Raw genomic sequence first — 18,005 nt, forward strand, 5'->3', positions numbered from 1 at the left:
CCCTACTATCATAGGTCTCTCTGGCTTTGTCGCCCTGGGGCTCTGGGGTGCCACCTCAGCATCTGGAGTGCTGGTATTAAGCTATATCTCTGGGCTGTAACTCAGCCCTTCTTCTCTGGGTTCTGCCATGCTGGGCAGGACTCTGCAAACCAGGGCTCTCCTTTGCCAGTGGCTCCCTGACAGGCTCTGCCATTAGGGGGTGCTAGAGAAAATGGAAGCTGGAGGAGGAAGCAGGGACCGGCTCCACCCTGCCTGCTTTTTGCTTCTGTGAGCAGCACCCAGCAAGGCTTCTTCTCCCTGGCAGCAGCAGCTCCTTCCAAAAGCAGCTGGTGAATCCACATTGCAGTTTTTCCACTTTCCATTTTGCAGAATGAGATGTATCAACCACTCCCTGGCCAGAGACATCGTACAAGCTGCCCAGCATCCCCTCCTCAGAGCTCTGGGTCTCATGAGCTGGGAAATGTGAACACCAGCTGACTGCCTCTCCAGCCTCACCCCCAGTTATCTTCCAGGTCCCTCCTCAAAACTTCCAAATCTTTTAACAATCCTAACCTCTTCCTTTGTTGTCTCCAGCCCCAGAGATGGTGGCTGCTGCCTACAGCTGCTGCCTTTGTTCTAACTTCAAGTACTCTTTTAAATCTTTTCAATTCCACAGCTAACAATTCTTTGCATTAAATTGTCTCTCCTCAAATAACTAGAAGTTTCTGACTCCTGCCAGGTTCCTAACTGATTGAGAAATAAGAGCTTGGAGCAGAGGCAGGGATGGAAGACAGCAGGAAGTGATGGCGGCTGGCAGAACCTGGGGGCACAGAGGATGCAGGACTGAGTGCGAGAAGAGGACCGTACTGTAGACCTACGGGTTTCGATGGCCAGCTGGGCTGTGTGTGAGCCACAACTGAGACGCCTTCCAGGGACTGCCAGAAGCACCTGCAGGGATGGTGAATCAGGCTCTTGAAAGCACAGCACGAATTTGGGAGCTCTGAGCTCAGAGGGCAGGGGATACTTGGCTAAAGAGGCTTAGTAGCCAGGAAGCCCTTCACACTGCAGCCTGTGTCTGAGCAAGTGAGGGGGCAACTGAATGAGTGTGCCCATCACTCCAGATGGTAAATGGAGAGAGGAAGGGATGCTTTCTCTAAGGGCGTCCTGGCTGGACTCGTCTCCCCCACAACCCTCAACACAGACACTCTCCTGCCTGCCTCCTATCCTAGGGTTTGGCAGGACAGATAGTCCAGGCGATCCCCTGTGACCAACCCCAAGCCCATGCTTCCTTCAAGGTCAAGTTTAGATGCTGCTGCGTCCATGGGACTTCTAGGATAACCCTCTCCCCACAACCATCTCTCCTCGCACCACATTGATAGTAGTGACTGCCAGTACCACTCACTGGGCCAGAGGAACAGTTCCCAGAGGGATAGACACTTTTCCTACCCTCAGTGGGGTGTCAGTGGGAAAGAAAGATAAAAAACTCAGCAGTGACTATCTATCTATCTATCATTTATCTATCTAAACTAATGGCACCTAGTAGGTGTTTGATAGGTAATTATTAAGTAAATAATGGATGAATGAATAGATGGATAGTAATGAATGGATGGATGAATAGATGAATGGATGGATGAATGGATGGATGGATGGATGGATGGATAGACAGACACGCATCTCCCCTAAGATGGAGAGGCAGGTAGTCTGGGGCAGGGCCATCTGTCACTGAGTCTTCCTCGAGTTCTTGATACCAGCATACTGTCTGACATGTCTATCCTTGGATGAGTTCGTGACTGGAGTAGGATAATGAGCAAAGGTGTAGAGGAAGGAAAAGCTAGAACATATAAATGATCTGGGGCCAATGAACTCTCCCACCTCCTGCTGCCTGCTCCTGGTATCTGAAACTCACCCTGCAGATATTTCCTTTGGTTCAACACTGCACACTTGGCCAGTCCTCTTCTGGCCCAGCTTCACCAGGAGCTGTAACATCCAAGCGGGTCCTGGACCAAGCAGCTGGTCCAGAGCTTTCTTTCCTAATGGGAGGAAGCTTGAACCACAGAAGTCCTGGGGCTGTGAGGCAGGCCCAGAGGAAGAAATAAGGTGGAAGAGGAAGAGAGTCCACTGGGACAGATCTCCCTAATCTCACAATACCACTTTGTATAAAAACCACTCTGTAGCAACAAAAGTAAAAAAAGCTGTACAGTACTGGTGGCTTTGCTTTGAAGCTCCACTCAGACAGGGGCCATGAGTCAGGAGGAGCAGACAGAGGAGGAGCAGACAGAGCCTACAGAACTTTTACTAGGGCAGGCATGCTCTTGTGATCCATACCTGTGGAGAGGAGGAGAAGGAAGCAGGGCTAGGTAGAGGGAGGAGGTTTCCGGGGCTGGGGGGTTTCTGAAGCTGGGTGGGCTTGCATAATGTTCTAACTTGGGGGGTCTGCAGGACTTGTGTGTCCCGGTGTTGATTAGTCATTGGATGCCACTGTTCCTGAGGAGCGGTGTGGCCTTGGTGTCTCCAGGAGGGCTAGTGTCTCAGGGCAGCTCCAGGCAGCACTCCCAGCAGGACAGCTTGGGGACTAAGCCTTCATCTCTACAGGGATTCTGGGGGCACCTTGAAGAAATGTTCATTGTTGTATCCTGGAGGATGCAGACCATACTCCTTCCTCTTCTTATCCAGGCTCAGTCATCCTCCTCTGGCCTCTCTGCTCCTCTCCTCCCCCACTCGCCCCCCTGCTGCCTCCGCAGCCCCAAGCCCTATAGCCCCGCATTGCATTATCGGCTGGCTGCTGCTGTCAGAGTCTCCGGGAAGATAATCTATCCGGAAAAGTGCGTGCGAATTACTAAATCAATAAACACTGCTAACCTCTTGATTCACTGCTTCTCTGCAGAGAACCCCTCAGCCCTGCAGCATTTCGCTTTAATAGGAGGAAAGCGAATGTGCTTAGTGGGCACAACCCACAGGCTGAGAAGGGAGGGGCAGCCACACGCGCCTAGGCGCCCACGATTAGAAAGCACCCCTCCTCCACCTCTGTCTTTAAGTTTCAGTCTCACAGAGGTAAGCAGCAAGAAAGCACGGGTCTTGCTGTGTACTTGGACTCACCTTCTAACCCTCAGCCCTATGCAGACGTCACCTTAAAAGACCCACCCCAGATTCCATCCGTGTAACATCTTGCCCTCACCAAGTCGGGGCAAAGGGTATAAACTCTGATTTGCTTAAGGTAGGAAGTATTGTCTGCTCATCCAAAGCAATTTTAAAGAAGAAGAAAACTTTACAACATGCAAATTCAAATCGTAAAAGCTGTTTTAATGATTAATAATAGCCACAGCTAAAACCTGCACAGTGCTTATTGCTTATTCCATGCAGAACATCATTTTAAGCTCTCTGCATAGATTAACTCACTTAATACAACCACTCTGAAGTGGTTATTATTATTACTGTTATCCCCATTTTACAAATGACATTTTGTTCTCTGTTTTAGAGACCCCAGAGAGGTTAAACAACCAGCTCAAGATCACACAGCTAGAACATGGAAGAGTCAGAATTTGAACCCAGGGCCCATGCTCGAATAGGTCAGTTCCATTCAACACACATTTGTGGCAGAATAACTCAGAGGTATTAATTTTTTCCTCCCTCCTCCCTTAAAGAAGGTAACAGAGTACTTTATATTTCCTTTCCTGAGAGATTTCCAGGGCAGAAAGGAGTAACTGCTCCAAGATAACCATTTCTTCTGCTTTTTGTGCAAGGCTGCACTATTCTGGAGATATGAAACCCATGCTTCCTTACTGCCTACCTTGGCGAATGCTAAAACTCAGAAACAAAAGCTGGAGGTGGGGGTGTCCTTAAGTGTGGAGATTGCAGTGAGTTCTGCCCTGCAGCCAGCACTTGGTCTCTTTACCAGGGGGCTGCCCTTGGAGCCCCGTGTTGCCAGTGCATACCAATAGCTAGAAGTGTCCCCTGAGCAACATTTGATTGAGGACTGATGAAAGAGTCCCTTGTCTCTGATGGGGACATGCTAATGTGTGGCCTCCACACCAGCCCTCCATGCCCTCACACCCTCACCTGACCTGCTTTTCCACGCGCCTCCTGGATTTTCCAGGGAACACTTGCTAATAAGGCATATTCACACAAATCCTCATCTCTCGGTCTCTCCTGGAGAACCCTGCATAAGACACCACACTCAGGGCTAATGGGCCAGAGAAGAAACAGCATCATCAGGGTCCAGTGGGAGCTGCAGCTTGGTGGAGAGGAAGTCACTGTCCAGGCGGCAGCCCAGGGCAGGGAGGGAGAAGGGAGGAAGTACTCCAACCACTCTTCTGTGCACTGGTTCGCTGGGCCCTCAGCTCAGAACTGGCATTAGTTCACTTCTGCCACATTCTACTGGCCCAAGAAAGTCACAGGCCTGTCCAGATTCAATGGGTAGGAACATAGACTCCAGGGAGTGGTGCCAACTTAGGGCCATTTTTATAGTCTGCCACACTATCCATGCCAGTGTACCCCTTGGAAGAGTTTTCTGCTCTCCAGTTTCAAAACTGCTGGGTTACCTAGCATGAGTGAACCAAGGGCACCCAGCTACTAAGTGGAATCTCGGGAAATGGAGCCCGGGCAGTCAGATTCCATAGCCAGGGTTCTGAACCCATCACTCGCTGCTGTCTTCCTGCATGAGCACAAGGCCTAGGGCATGTAGGGTACAGTCAGTGTACGGTGGTTTTAAATTAGCCACCACAGATATGGAAGAAACATATTATTTATTCTATAAGAAATAAATGAAACTGGACTCTGAGCTCTTACGGAGTTGAAGGAGAATTCTATTCCCTTCTCCCCGAAGGCATGCCATGGTCCTGGTGTCTGGTGAGAACACAGCATTCTTTGAGGAGCCTTCTATCATCAGCTCACTCTGTGATGCCTAGCAAACAAGCCTGCTGAGGCCACTGGAAACTGACCTGGTGGTGGGGCCTCAGGACCTTATAGACTGGACCTTGGGGGCTATAATGGCACCCCACAGTCCTTCCCCTCTGAGGCTGTGCAGTTTCCTTGCGGCAATGCTGGAGACCTGAGAAGTCCCCCATCCTTATGTGTCCACCATCCTCTGCTCCCTTTGCAGACTGTGGGCTTTCTCTCTTCCTTTGCAAAAGTTTTTCAAAATAGGAAATAAAAATCAATGGAATTTGCACATCTAGTTTTAGATACTCTCAACTGTCATGGTGTATTGGTTGTAATATTCTTCCTGATGTGGAGGCATTCATTAGGATATCATGGGGGAGGGCAGATATTAATATCGGGAGGGACAAAAGCATATGCCCCTCAATACCATGCTAGTGGCCTTTCATTTCCTTTCCCAATGACCTGGAGGAAGGGGAGGGGGGTAAGAAGAAACAAGTCACCCGACTTGTAGGTCCGTCTTGCTTCCTGCTGTTCACTGGAGAATTGTCTGGCAGATACATGCCCTTTGTTTCCAAGCTGACTCTCTTTTAGAAACTACCTCAAGCTTCCACCAATCACGAGGGTGTTAACCCTTCTAAAGTCTTCCATTCCTACCCAGAAATTAAGCCAAATACCACAAAGTCAGGGAGTGTCTCCATAAGTTCTTTCACTGTGCCATCATTAATGGGCTGGACCAAGTAGATGGAAGTGTTCGGGAAGAGCTGCAGTGGAATTGCTTCATGGTGTCCAGTGGACTGAGGAGAAGAAAAGGTCACCAGGCTATCTCAGTCTGACCTCAGCATCCCCCTTCCCTAGTGTTCTGAAAACAACGCAGCCTCTAGCAGAGGTCTGCACCTTGACCCAATGGCTGGCCAACCAGGCTCAGTCTCCATTGCTTCCTGGGCCCTGTGACAAAGAAGTGATGGCAGCCCCACTGGCTCACCCTTCAGTAACCTCTGGGAACACAGTAAGAGGAAGGGGAATAAACTGAGAAGCTCAGATGGCCATGAACATGCCTTGCATTTTTCCAGGGAACCCATATCTCCATGGTCCTCGATGCCACCAACTGCTGGCTCATTAAAGGGAGGCATCATCTCTTTCTGGAGTAGGTCATTCTCAACTTGCCCCCAGACCCATTCCTTGCTCTTCATGGCCCTGTTCTTTGTCCTAGAGGCTGACTCCAGGCTCTCTTGCTGGACTTCTAGCTGGGTTTGACCCATGGGAGATGCGGGCAGGAGACTGGGGTAGTGAAGAGCGGTGAGGATGGTCATTCCCCCTGCCTGCCTCCTGCCTGCTCTGCTCCACTGCAGCCCCTCCTCTCATCAGGCTCAGATCACCGTCTTTCCTCCCCTTTGTCCTTTCAGTCCTAGGGGTGGCAACAGTTTCCTGATGGTGCTGGTCTCTGGATGCTTCAACATCCCCATCTGTCCCCTTAACCCTGCCCACTCCTCTGGAAGTATCCTCTTCATTAAATCCTTTATTTGAACCATCCAGGGTGAATTCTGCTCCCTGTCCAGCCTGACTGGTACAATATGAGGTGCCTCCCTCCTCTGAAGAGGAAGCAGGCAACGTCTGTGAGGGCCTGGGCTGTTGGCAACAGGTGCACAAGGAGCGAGAGGGTCCACTTCTCTCCACAAGACCCACCATTACACTGGGCCTCTCCTGAGCTCTGGTAGAGCCAACCGCTTTTTCCTCAGCTGCAGTGACCCAGGGCTTAATCTGGGCTTAATACAAAGGGCTGCAGGCTGGGCATGGTAGCTCACACCTGTAATCCCAGCACTTTGGCAGGCCGAGGAGAAGGGAGGATCACTTGAGTCCAGGAGTTCAAGATCAGCCTAGGCAATCTTGGATAAAGGTGTCTTGGGGTCAAGAGTTCTGCTTCTCTGTCCTGCTGGTTGTGTGGCTTGGGGCCAGTTCCACCACCCCCATGAGGCTCTGTTTTCTTCCAAGGCTCTCCCAAGGATGCAGCAGGCAGGAGATATGACCTAGTGGGCTCGAAGGAGACAGGTCCAGGTGCCAAAGAGGAGGACTGCAGGCCTACAGAGGGGTGGGGACAAACTGATGGGCAGACCTGGAGGCCGGCAAATTATTCACAGCAGCCAGCCAGCACAATGCAGCACCTGGTGGGTGCTGGGCATGTTGGCAGCGGTGAAGGGTCCTGAGGGCTCATAGTTCAGTCACAGGGAGCAGTGCCCTACCCCACCTCCCAAACAAGTAAGAGTCATGGTGCCTGATCCATGTGCTCAGTGCCCAGTGCAGATGCAAAATGGTTGGGTGTCTCAGCGGAAGTGCCACAAAGGGGTTATATTCAAGATGGGTTTTTCACTGGGATGAGAAGTTGGTGAGGACATTTCAGGCAGAGGGAACTGCGTTTGCAAAGCCCGGCTGGGATGAAGCAACATAGTAGAGTAGACGAAGGCAGGCCATTCAGAGCGTCTGAAATGTTGGCGCCAGACAGTCTGGTGGGGGTTGGGGTAGAGAGGAGAAGCAATGTGGCCATTGCAGGGTCTCTCAGGTCAGGTTCCCCAGAAGTGAGCCTGAGACAGGGATTCTTGTGCAGGTGCCTGGTTGAGGGAGCGCTCACTGGAGAAGGCAGCGAGGGAGGAGGCTGGGGTGGGGGAAGGAACAGAACTAAGATGTTCTCTTGGGCAGGGTCTATCTGCAGTCCCATTCCCACTGCAGGAGCTCTGGAGCAGGCATTAATCTGGGCTTAAGACAAAGGGCTGCAGGCTGGGCATGGTAGCTCACACCTATAATCCCAGCACTTTGGGTGGCTGAGGAGGAGGGAGGATCACTTGTGTGTGGTGGGGGTCGGGGTTGGGGCCTGTGGCTGCAGGGACTGGGGTGAGCAAGACTCCTGGGTTAGATGGTTCCTGTATCCACACAGCTGTGGCAGCAGCCACACTCACTGCAGCTAGGGTGCAGGGGCCTGCAAACAAAGGGGATCTGGGCTAAACTTGGGAAGCCTTCACCATCTGCCTTCACATCCAGGCTCCTCCTGTGGACCTCTTGCTCTGGATCCCCCAGGAGACAACTAAGCTGGCCTGATCTGCCAGTCAGCAGGGGGCTCAGCTCCTGAGGCCCGTCAGCATTCCAGATGAACAGAGAGACTCTCTTCCCAGATTGGGGCAGTTGGAAGTGGTGAGCACGGCCACACAGCGAGAGAAGTCAGGGGAGGTGTCTGACCTCCTGAGAGCAGTGAGGTCTGATGGAGGCTGGAAGAATATGCCCATCAGAGGCATTTCTGGGTGACTTGGGGCCACTGCCCGCCCTGGTGGGATGGAGGACTGCCTGGCCTCATGCTGCTCCATTCCATAATGGCTGGAACGGCACATGGGGGCCTCAGAGGCCATTACCCTGCACCTCTGTCATGTGGCCTCTGGCTCAAGGTTACCTTGTAATTGCAGATGCTTGGGCCTGAAGTCAGCATACTCTACCTGCAAAAGAATCAGCAAGATCTTCCCATTCTTCTTCCTGCCATGTCCACTCCCTGAGTCCCCATATCAGCCTCTCTCACCAGATTCTGCCAGAGCATCAGGCTGATCAGGGAGATGATGCAGCCTAGAGGAAAGAGCTGGGATTTTGGAGTTGGAAGGGATGGGACTCCAATGCTGATTGTGCCCTTGGACACGGTGCTTTCCTCATTTACAGACTGAGTCTAAAGGACAGAGTGACCCTTTGTTGAGTGTTTGTCATGGCCCAAGCCCTTTACATGAATCCTCATGGAATCCACATGCACTACATTACAGGTGAGGAGACTTGGCCCAGAGAGGGCATGGCATGAAATAGGAGCCTGGTTTCATGTCTCTCCCTCGCAATGCCCCCTGGGCACCTTAGATCACTCTCTTTCTACAAAACCTGCAACTATGACTACATAAAATTAGCACCCACGGATGTCGGCTCCTACCTGTCTGTCTAGCATGATCTCTTGACATCCCTGCCCTCACTTTCTATTCTCTGGACCCAGAGGTGGTCTCTCCGACCTCCAGTCTTTTGCTTCCCCTTGGAATGCCCCAATCCCTGTTTAACTAACTCCCACTTGACATTTAACTTCAGTTCTACTGAACCTTCACCACCCAGCCCATCCCAGCCTGTGGCTCTGGGGAGGTCCCTCAGTGTCCTGGGCTCACCTCTGCCACCTCCACAGTACACTGGCCAGTCACAGTCCACTTGTCCAGCTTTCCTGAAGCTTCTTGAAGCCGTGGCTGCCCTTCATCCCTCTCTAAGTGCCATCCTTGGAACCCATACAGGGCCTGCCACCAGGGAGTGACCAACACACAGCAAGTCCCCACAAGCAACCCTGAAATGGAGAGAATGCTCCATTCTGGGATGGCCAGTTCTATGGGCCACACCACTGACCCAGACTCCACCTGACTCCAAGTCCCTCCTTGCTCTCTGAATATCTTAGGTTAAATTTTGAAAACACCAACTCCTTTAAGTATACCTTCCCAAAGTTTTCGTTGTTGACATCTGAGCTTTGCAAAAGTGCTTTTTAAATAGTTGTGGTGTTTTTCTTTCTTCCTCTTCTTTTTTTTTTTTGCTGCTGCTGTTATTATTTTAGACAATTTTTGCCCCAGTCAGTGCACCTAGAGAGCTTTTGACAAGACTCTGCAAGAATAAAATTGTTTTGCAAAGAAAAAGGCGGGAGAGGAGGAAGAGGAAGAAGAAAGAGAGGGAAGAGAGAAGGGAGAGAAGGAGGGAGAGAGGGAAGAGTCATGAGCTGCTGCATCTTTAAGGCTCTCAGAAATTGTCCAGTCCAGTTTCCTTATTTGGCGAATGAGGAAACTGAGGCCCCCAAACAGGAAAGAAAACAGCCAGTCTTTCTTGCCATCAGCTAATGACAGAGCCAGTGCCCAACCCAGCCATGACGCACAGGGCACTGCAGCAGCTGACAGATGCGCAGAGTGAGTTGATAGAGTGAGCTGGAGTCACTCGGCCCTTGAGTCCTCCTTTCCCTCTGAAGCTTGTTGCTGGGGAGGATGGGAGGTGAGGTCACCATGTTCCCCCATAACCAGGTCAGGGTCTGCAGTCCCCCCATCTGCATGCAGCAGGAAGCTGACTCCTCTCCCTCTGTCCAGCCTTCCAGCACATGTACCCCATCACCAGGAAGGTCCTGCCCTGTGGCACAAAGCCGGAGTATACCTGCTGTTGGAGGAAATAAATAAGTAAGGTTAAGAACAAAGACCTCTCAAGTTTCAGCCAAGGTGTGGGCTATAATGGGGGCTGTCTTGTGCCAGGAGGTAATGGCTGTAAATCAGACCGCACTGGATGGAAATTTTGCTGTGTTTTGAAGTCCATTTGGTCTTATTGCTTGTTCAGCTTCTTAATGCATTAATGATAAAACATCAGAGTGAATATGTATTCCAAAAAAATTGCAATTAATCAATACTGCACTTATTCCATTTGGCTGCGACTAAGTGGTAAACAGGACTTAGGCCGGCTCCGTGAGCACAGGCTCTTCTCTGTCTCAAGGCCTTTCCCGGCAGAGTGAGGATGTGAGGGGGTGTCAACTCCTAAGAAGGAAGCAGCTGGCCCAGAGGTCCTGTGGCCAGGTATCCAGGTACATGCTCACGCCTTCTAGGGAGAACCAGCACTGTGGGCCTGTGCTACGAAAGACCAGGCAGTACCTCGTCCACACACCTGCTTACTGTCTCTGGTCTTAGGTTAATGCTTGCAATTTTCCCTCTCATCTGTGAAAATATGACATTAGCCCCACACCTTAGTGGGGCTGAGGACAGGAAGCGATTGATCAAAATGGGTGCCACTGTAAGAATGCAGCAGGTTAACAAGTGTTCCATGCTCATGTAGATGCTGGTCATGCATTAGTTATTATCATTTCCATTCACTCTCACCTCTTAGCCTCTTGGGATCTCAAACGCATTGTCTTCAGCAAGTGCTGCCTGCCTGATTTCAAGAAAAGCCCAGAGCAATGCTTCAAGTCTGAGTCTTAGACCATGATTTTGCAGATAAGGAAATTGAAGCCCACAGAGGTCAAGACCCAAAGTCACACAGCTGGCTAGAGGCAGAGCTTAGTCTTCCCATCCTGGAACTCTGACTTCTGACCATGCCTGACCTAAGTGATCTGGAATGGCAAAGAGTGAGGTCCCCATGCATAGGATATTCTGCAAATATTTGTTCAAGGTGGATTTAAGGGTGAGGCTGAGCTCTGTGGTGGGAATGAAGAAGATTATTAACAGCACTGGCATTCACCTCTTACTCAGCTAAACCAAAGCCCTCACTTAGGGGGACCTACACCCTGGGAGGCTGTTTAGAGAACCTCTGGTGTTTCCCAAGCATTTCTTCAGCAAATTCTTACTGAGTGACCACCTGAGTCAGCCACTAGGCAGTAGAGCATGTCCCTGGGGAACACAGCTTTCCTCCCCACAGGCAATGTAGCAGAAGATTCATTTCAAACACATGCTGCTTGGCATCTTTGCTTCCTAAAAATTCTGGTAAATTTAATTTGCTCCATTTTATTCCATCTCAAGCACCTCTTATTGCCTGGCTCCCGTGATCTGCCACTTTTCTGGCCTTAACCCCTGGATGACAACTCCCCATCACATAAACAAGGGCATATTATACAACAGCACATTCACTGGTCCAACTTTTCTCAGCTCAGGGGTGTTCTGGAAAATACAGTGAGGTCAGCAGCCCAGGGGCATGCCGGTGAAAGGGGAAGACACTGGATAGGTGCTCAATAAAGCCTTCTTGCTTAATGTCCTTCGAATGGCTAAAGACTGGACTCATGTCCCCTTTGAGCCAGGCCCTCCCCATTCCTTCTTCTTTATGTGACGTGCTGTATTAGCTTAGTTCTGTCTTCAGCACTATTCCCAATGGGTCTCTCTCCAACCAAGAGGCTTTCATCTCCATTCCCACTGCTGTCCACAATGGGCGGGCGGGCGGGCAGGGGCAGTGGGGGTGTCACAGAATCAAATTCCCTAGTGCCACCAGCTGCGGAGAAGCAAGGGTGGGGGGGTGACTGGTCAGACTGGTGGGTGTTTCATACCAAGCCCTGCTGTGCCCACTGAGTTGGCCACAGCCCCATGTGTTTGCCATGGCCCAGCTCCTCATCTGGCTGACGAGATGAACTCTTCCCATCGGCCTGATGAGAAGACTCAGGGCTCAGTGTCTGGGTGCTGGCCTCAGGCCTCAGCAGCATTTTCTTTTCCCAGGTGTGGCCATTTTCCTACCAGGATGAGCCACACAGCTCAGTAGCAGGGCTAAGTCTCACCGTGCTGTGGAGCCCAGCTCACAGAGCCAAATCCATTTGCAAAGGAGGGGCTGTCAGAGCTGCTGTTTGTCTTCTCAAGGCTGTGCAGCATCCTGCCTTAGAGTCTCGGCAGCCTTCCAGGGGAGTTTTGCTTTTAACTGTATTATAGTGGTTGGGCAACTTGGGAAATCTGAATTCCATTGACACATTTACAATCCTCTTGCCTCTCAGATCATGAAGAAACTCCATCTCATAGACACAAAGTCTTTCAGAGCTCTGGGCCTCTTAAAGGATAAAAACACTGTCTTATTGGATGGGAAAGTAGAGAATTTCTGGGCAAAATGGCACCCAACAGTGAAGATTTGGGTTCCTTTTCCTCTTGGCTTTTCACTGAGAGAGCAACTCTCTGGAGTAGACAGTCTCTTGCAACTGATCTTTGTTTACTTCAGTCACCACCATCAGAGTGATTTTGTCCACAGAGCCCATGAGCTTTTTAAGGGCTACAAAAGTGTCCCAAGGGCTAGGGAAAAACATGTTGGCAAAACAGTGCTAAAATAAAACTTTATTCGAAATTAATATATTGATAATTAAACAGCTACAAAATTTAACATTTTGTTAGCTAGTCAACTGCAATTCAACTCATGTCCTATTTTCACATGTAAATTCTGTTTGCATAAAGGGTGGGCATGTTGTATATCATGTGAGATGAATCCCTGAAAAGTCAGGAGGCTGTATTAGTCAATGTCCATTGAGGAAAACAGAATGGTCCAGGCCAAGTAGTTGAGATGAGGGGGATTTAATATGGGAAGGGCAAAGGGTCAGAAGAGTTAGCTGCAAAAGAAACAGGAGAAGGAGAGGCAACCGAGAGTTTAGCTACAACTAGAAGCCACCATCACCCCTTGGGCTGGAAGGGTCAAAGGAGGAGGGGATACTCCCAAACTTGGGTTCTAGGGGCCACTAGATAGGACTTGGAAGGAGAGGATACAGTGGGAGGCCTGTTGACAGAAGGAGCTGGACCCATGGAGAACATTCAGCCATTGCCAGAAACACTACCTGGAGCAGGGATAGTGGGGAGAAGTACCCTGGCTCCTCCCTGTCTCTCCTCTCCCAATCTCTCCCCAGAGCCTTTTGATAGCCACACCTATCTGCAAGCCAGTGAGCAAGAACTCCAGGACACTCATTCGCAGGGCTCACCCCTCTACGATGCAGAGAAGAATGGGAAACAGGACACGGCAGGGATATGAGAGCAAACCAGCAAGTGGCCCTACCCGTAGCTTAGGAGGGACATTGACAAGCAGAAGTGTGCTTGTAAGAGAGTGACAAAGGTTGTGAGGGACTCAGGTGCCAATCTTATGAAGAAGAGGCAGGAATCATGAATTGTTGGCTGAACACAGACTTTCAAAGTTCAACCTAGGGAAGACTTCCTTTCAGAGTGTCCAGAGAAGAAGAGGTCTGCCTTAGGAGGCAGGGAGGGATGAAGGCTAGGAAGGGGAGCCGGGTCAGATGATTTCACAGACCCATTCATTCCCTGAGAGTGTGATCCTGCACTCCACCACCATGATGCTGAGAGCCGGTCCATGTGGCACTGGCTAGACTAGAATGATAATACATATATTGATGAGAGGTTTGCTGCAAAAATGACCCATAACAAACAGCCCTGATAGCTCAGTAGCTTACAGCAACCACTGATTTTGTACCCACCATGTGCTGGTTGGCTGTGCTTTGGCTGGTCTTGGCTGGACTCAGCCAAGTTTAGATGAGAGGGGCTCACTCAGGGCATCAGGTTGGGACCAAGACTGTCCCACAGGTAGAGTGAGCTGTCCCAGCTTTCTGCTGGGGCTCAAGCTGGCTTCAGGAATGTGCTTTTCTTGTGGCAGAGAGTGGAAATGCCAAGAGGACTGGCAGGAACGTGCTATCTGCCTAGGGCCTCAGCTCAGAATGACACACTCTAACTTCCATCCTCTTTCCATTGGCCAAAGCAAGCCATATGGCCAAAGCCAAAGTTAAGGGTAGAGGATCTGCCCACGGGAAAGTCATATCAAGGGATAGGAGGGTAGCAACGATTTCAGACAAGTAATACAATCTACCATGGATAAAAAGAATATTTTAATAGTAATGGGGCAGTATAGCAGAGTGGTTAAAGGGTTTGAGCAAACTGGCAAGGGTTTGAGCTCCACCTCTGCTACTTCTGGACAAAATGGCCTTGGGCAAACTCTCTGGGCCTCCTTTTCCTCATCCAGAAAATGGGAAGCCTAGTATGCAGACCTTCCAGTGTGGCTGTGAGGGAGCGCTGGGCTGACAGATATGAAATGCTGAGCTGGGTGTCTGGCATCTAAGAAGAGCCTAATAGATGCTGGCTGGTACGTTGTTAGGAAGAATCTATTGAAAATTGTGCCTTCTGGAGACAAGGCATGCAGCAAAGGTGAGGGGAGAAACATTTCAGGGAAATAATTTGAAAATCTCTGCATGGTAGGCTTATGAAAAAAGGAAATACCTCAGTAACTGAGTCATCCCCTGAGCTCTGGGAACAGAAAGCCTGCAGGCTGGCACTGTTCTCCACTGCAGAGTTGACAGCTTGTTGGAGGAGGAGTGGCACAAGGTGGGGAGGGGGGCAGATTTCCTCTCCTGACGACTTGCTCTGGTTCACCCACAGCCCCATGCACATAAAGGTCCAGTTTCTGGAAGCAGCCTTAGAAATTCTGTGGAATTTCTGGGTCCCAGGAACTGCCACTTTGCAATTTGAGAATTTAAATATATGTAGATGCTTAGTCTTTTCTTTTACAGAAAGATACAAATTCCTCCAAAAATACATCGTCCTCAATCATTTTTTATTCTTGTGCCTACCCAAATCAAGCCCTAAGCTGTTGAAAGAAAGAAAGTAAATAATAGGGAAAGAGACAAGCAAAAACCAAATCGAAGTTTCAAAAACCAGGTGAAAATCCCACCAGTTATGAGATGGCCTTGATTGGGGGCCAGGAGGGCAGGCGTGGGTTTCCCGGGTCTCTATGTGACACAGTGGTTAGAACATGTCTTTTGGAGTCAAATTGCCTCAGTTCAAACCCCATCTCTGCTGGCCCCCAGATATGAAACTGGGTAAACAAGCCCTTATGAATCAGAATCCTCATCAGTTAAAATCAGACGATGTTAGCTTCTTTCTCACAGGTAATTGCAAAGTTTGCAGGAGATACTAGTGGCTCTTGAAGCACTTGCTATGTGGTGGCCACATGCATTGCTTTTCTTTGTGAAGGATCAACACAGTTGATAAGCACTCTATTAGCCAAGGTCAAGAATTTTATTTCCACATGGCAAACAGAGTGTTTGCTTTGAGAAGAGATCAGGAGGGATGAGGAGGCATGCTGAACAAAATACAACTGCTGGCCAAATTCAGCCCATGGAACCAGTCTGCTGGTTCTCAGCTTTGGAGGCTCAGCAATTAGATTTGTTAATATAACTGTCTTAGTTTGAGTTCCCCAAAGCCAACCCTGAGATGAGGATTCATCTGGAAGCAATTCATTTGAAAAAGATTTATTAGCAATTGTTCCCTGGAAAAACGGGTAGGCAAGTGGGAAAGTAGGACCAAGAAGCAGGAGTGTGACATCCTGCCTGGAGGGTAACTTTGGCTGTTTCCCCCAGGTGAGCTCTGGAGATAGGGCAGGTGACACCTCAGAGTGTCTGGGGGTGGGGGAAGCTGGGGATTGATCAGTCATTAGTCACAGGTAGCCCCAGGAAGAGGCACATCCCAGGCATTTCCAGCTCTCCATGCACACAGGCAAAGTGGGTTTCAGCAGCCTGAGAGCTGTCCTCAGATGCTGGCTGTTAAGGAGAAAGCACAAGAGGTGTCTATGGGCACAAAAATGGTGAAGGGGATCCAAGGAGCTTGGGCAGAGCAAAGCAGCAACTGGTACAACACCCAAAGGTGATAGGTGCCGGGACTGACTTGCAGGAAGCAAACTCCCAAGAGATGGCCACGTTTCCAGGGAGAGACAGAACTAGCCAGCACTTCTGGTTCTCATGTCCAAGGATCCTCAGCCCATGTTCTCCAGGGAAGAAAACCTCTGTTATAAACGGGGATTACAGGGTAATGAGGCACTCACCACCAGAAGCTTGGTTGGATTTCATAATGGCTGAGTCCTGGAGCTTCAGCAGTGATAAGAGAAGGACAGGACTGTTTGTGGGTCAGGACTCCATGTTGCCCTGCCAGAGCTGGAGGCAACAGCATCACGGGCAGCCTTGTGGTGCAATAAGAGACATGCTGCCCTTGGAAGTCAGGTGGAGCCACGTTCCAACCCCGTCTCTTTCATGTTTGAGCTGCGTAACCTTGGGCCTCTCTAAGCCTCATCATCTAAGATCTGCCTGGAATGCCTGCCACCCCAGCCCTTGTAGGGTCGATTCAGAATCAGTGTCTTATACCTCCTCCTTAAAGAGCCACGGGATTCCTGCTCTATGTGAGGGAGCTGTTGCTCAGAAAAGAGTACATGACAATTATCATTGCCTGTGTCTTCCCCTTGGCTAGCCTCCCTGTATTTCGTTGCTCCTCTTTCCCTTTCTTTTTGAGAAAAGGGAGTTTGTCTCAAACTCCCTGAAGCCTGCCCCCTGTTTCTCCCCACCTGGGCTGCTGCCCCCTCTTTTTGTCCTTCCCTCTCATGTAGTCACCACCCTCTGTCTTCATTCCCCCAAGCACTGCTAACAGGATGCTGTTGTGTGTCATGGAATCTGATTGAGGCTGGGGAGTAATGAAGGGGGGTATGACAGAGCCCAGAACAGGAAGCAGCTTTCTCTGCAGTCCTGGAGATGACTGTACTGGAAGGCTGCCGGGCTCTCCCCACCCCTGGGGAGCATCTACTCATCCTTCTTATCCCCAGGCCTCCCCTCCCTCAATGCTGATGGACCCCTCTTGCATGACGGCCCTCTCTCAAGCACACGCTCCCCAAACCTCTCCCAATGCTGGCTGACCAAGGACAGGTCTCAGTGCCTGTGGCCCCATCAGGTGGCCAGCATGGCTCTTCATGGTCTTTACCCCCTTTCCCTCTGGTCTAGACACAGGAACCTCATTTTTCTCTACCATAAACAAACAAGAGGAAAGAAAAACAGAAGGCTTCCCCATTTTTTTTTTTTTTTTTTTTTTTTTTTACAAAAATGCAGCCAAGCCTAAGAGGCTAACAGGGACTTTGTATTTTTCCAAGACGTCTGGATCAAACGGCAGCTTGGTTTTCACAAGACCATCCCTTCCAGACGCTTATTGTTGCTCCCAACCCCACAAGCCTCTCGTTCCCTCTTCTCTTGTTCCCCCTGTGTTCCCCGCCCCCAACACACACTGCCTCTAGCTCTTGAATTCCTCCAATCACAGCAAGTCTGGGCTGCAGCCCTCCTGCCTCTTTAAGGTGACTTGGCATTTCTCTGTGTGGATCCATTTTTGCATGCTTTATGGTTTAACTGGCAGAGGGATGTCTTATTTCCTGATCTCCGAGCTGTCTCAGGCAGTCTCTGCCAACACCCCATGGCACACCATGGGTGCCCTCAGACCTTGTCCACAGCAATCAGCACCTACGCCCTCTCCCACTGCCTGGCTGCTTTCAGATGTCACCCTTAGGTTTTACCCCATCCCATCACCTGCAAGGCTCTGGAATTCTTTGAAATATTTTAAAACATTTTTATTACAATGAGAATGCATGTTTATTACAGAAGAAAAATTGAAAATGTGGGTAAGCAAATACAAATGTCAGTCTTAATCTACCGTGTAGAAATAGTATCTTTTAAGATTTTGATAAACATTCTCCCAGATTTTATTTTCTATGAGTATGCATGCATATCAGTCAAGACTCTCTTGGTTACAGGTGACAGAAAAAACTCAGATGCCTCAGTACAGGCTGAATTGCACCTTCCCACCTCCCCTCTAATT

General features: G+C 50.0%; 1 long non-coding RNA gene across 1 annotated transcript in view, besides 2 other annotated features; it reads right to left on the reverse strand.

Annotated features, from left to right (window-relative positions):
• LOC107986081 (uncharacterized) overlaps positions 1 to 18,005 on the reverse strand; it is a 68,253-nt gene that overhangs the window by 11,667 nt on the left and 38,581 nt on the right. The gene's annotated exons all lie outside the window — the stretch shown is intronic.
• Positions 382 to 883: an enhancer, noted in NCBI's record as "H3K4me1 hESC enhancer chr3:43897541-43898042 (GRCh37/hg19 assembly coordinates)". NCBI's record gives its function as "activates a minimal SCP1, AML or CMV promoter by ChIP-STARR-seq in naive H9 embryonic stem cells {active_cell/tissue: H9 hESC(naive)}" and the evidence as "EXISTENCE:reporter gene assay evidence [ECO:0000049][PMID:30033119]".
• Positions 884 to 1,383: an enhancer, noted in NCBI's record as "H3K4me1 hESC enhancer chr3:43898043-43898542 (GRCh37/hg19 assembly coordinates)". NCBI's record gives its function as "activates a minimal SCP1, AML or CMV promoter by ChIP-STARR-seq in naive H9 embryonic stem cells {active_cell/tissue: H9 hESC(naive)}" and the evidence as "EXISTENCE:reporter gene assay evidence [ECO:0000049][PMID:30033119]".

This window comes from Homo sapiens, chromosome 3 (assembly GCF_000001405.40).
Source record: "Homo sapiens chromosome 3, GRCh38.p14 Primary Assembly".
Taxonomy (NCBI): Eukaryota; Metazoa; Chordata; class Mammalia; order Primates; family Hominidae; genus Homo; species Homo sapiens.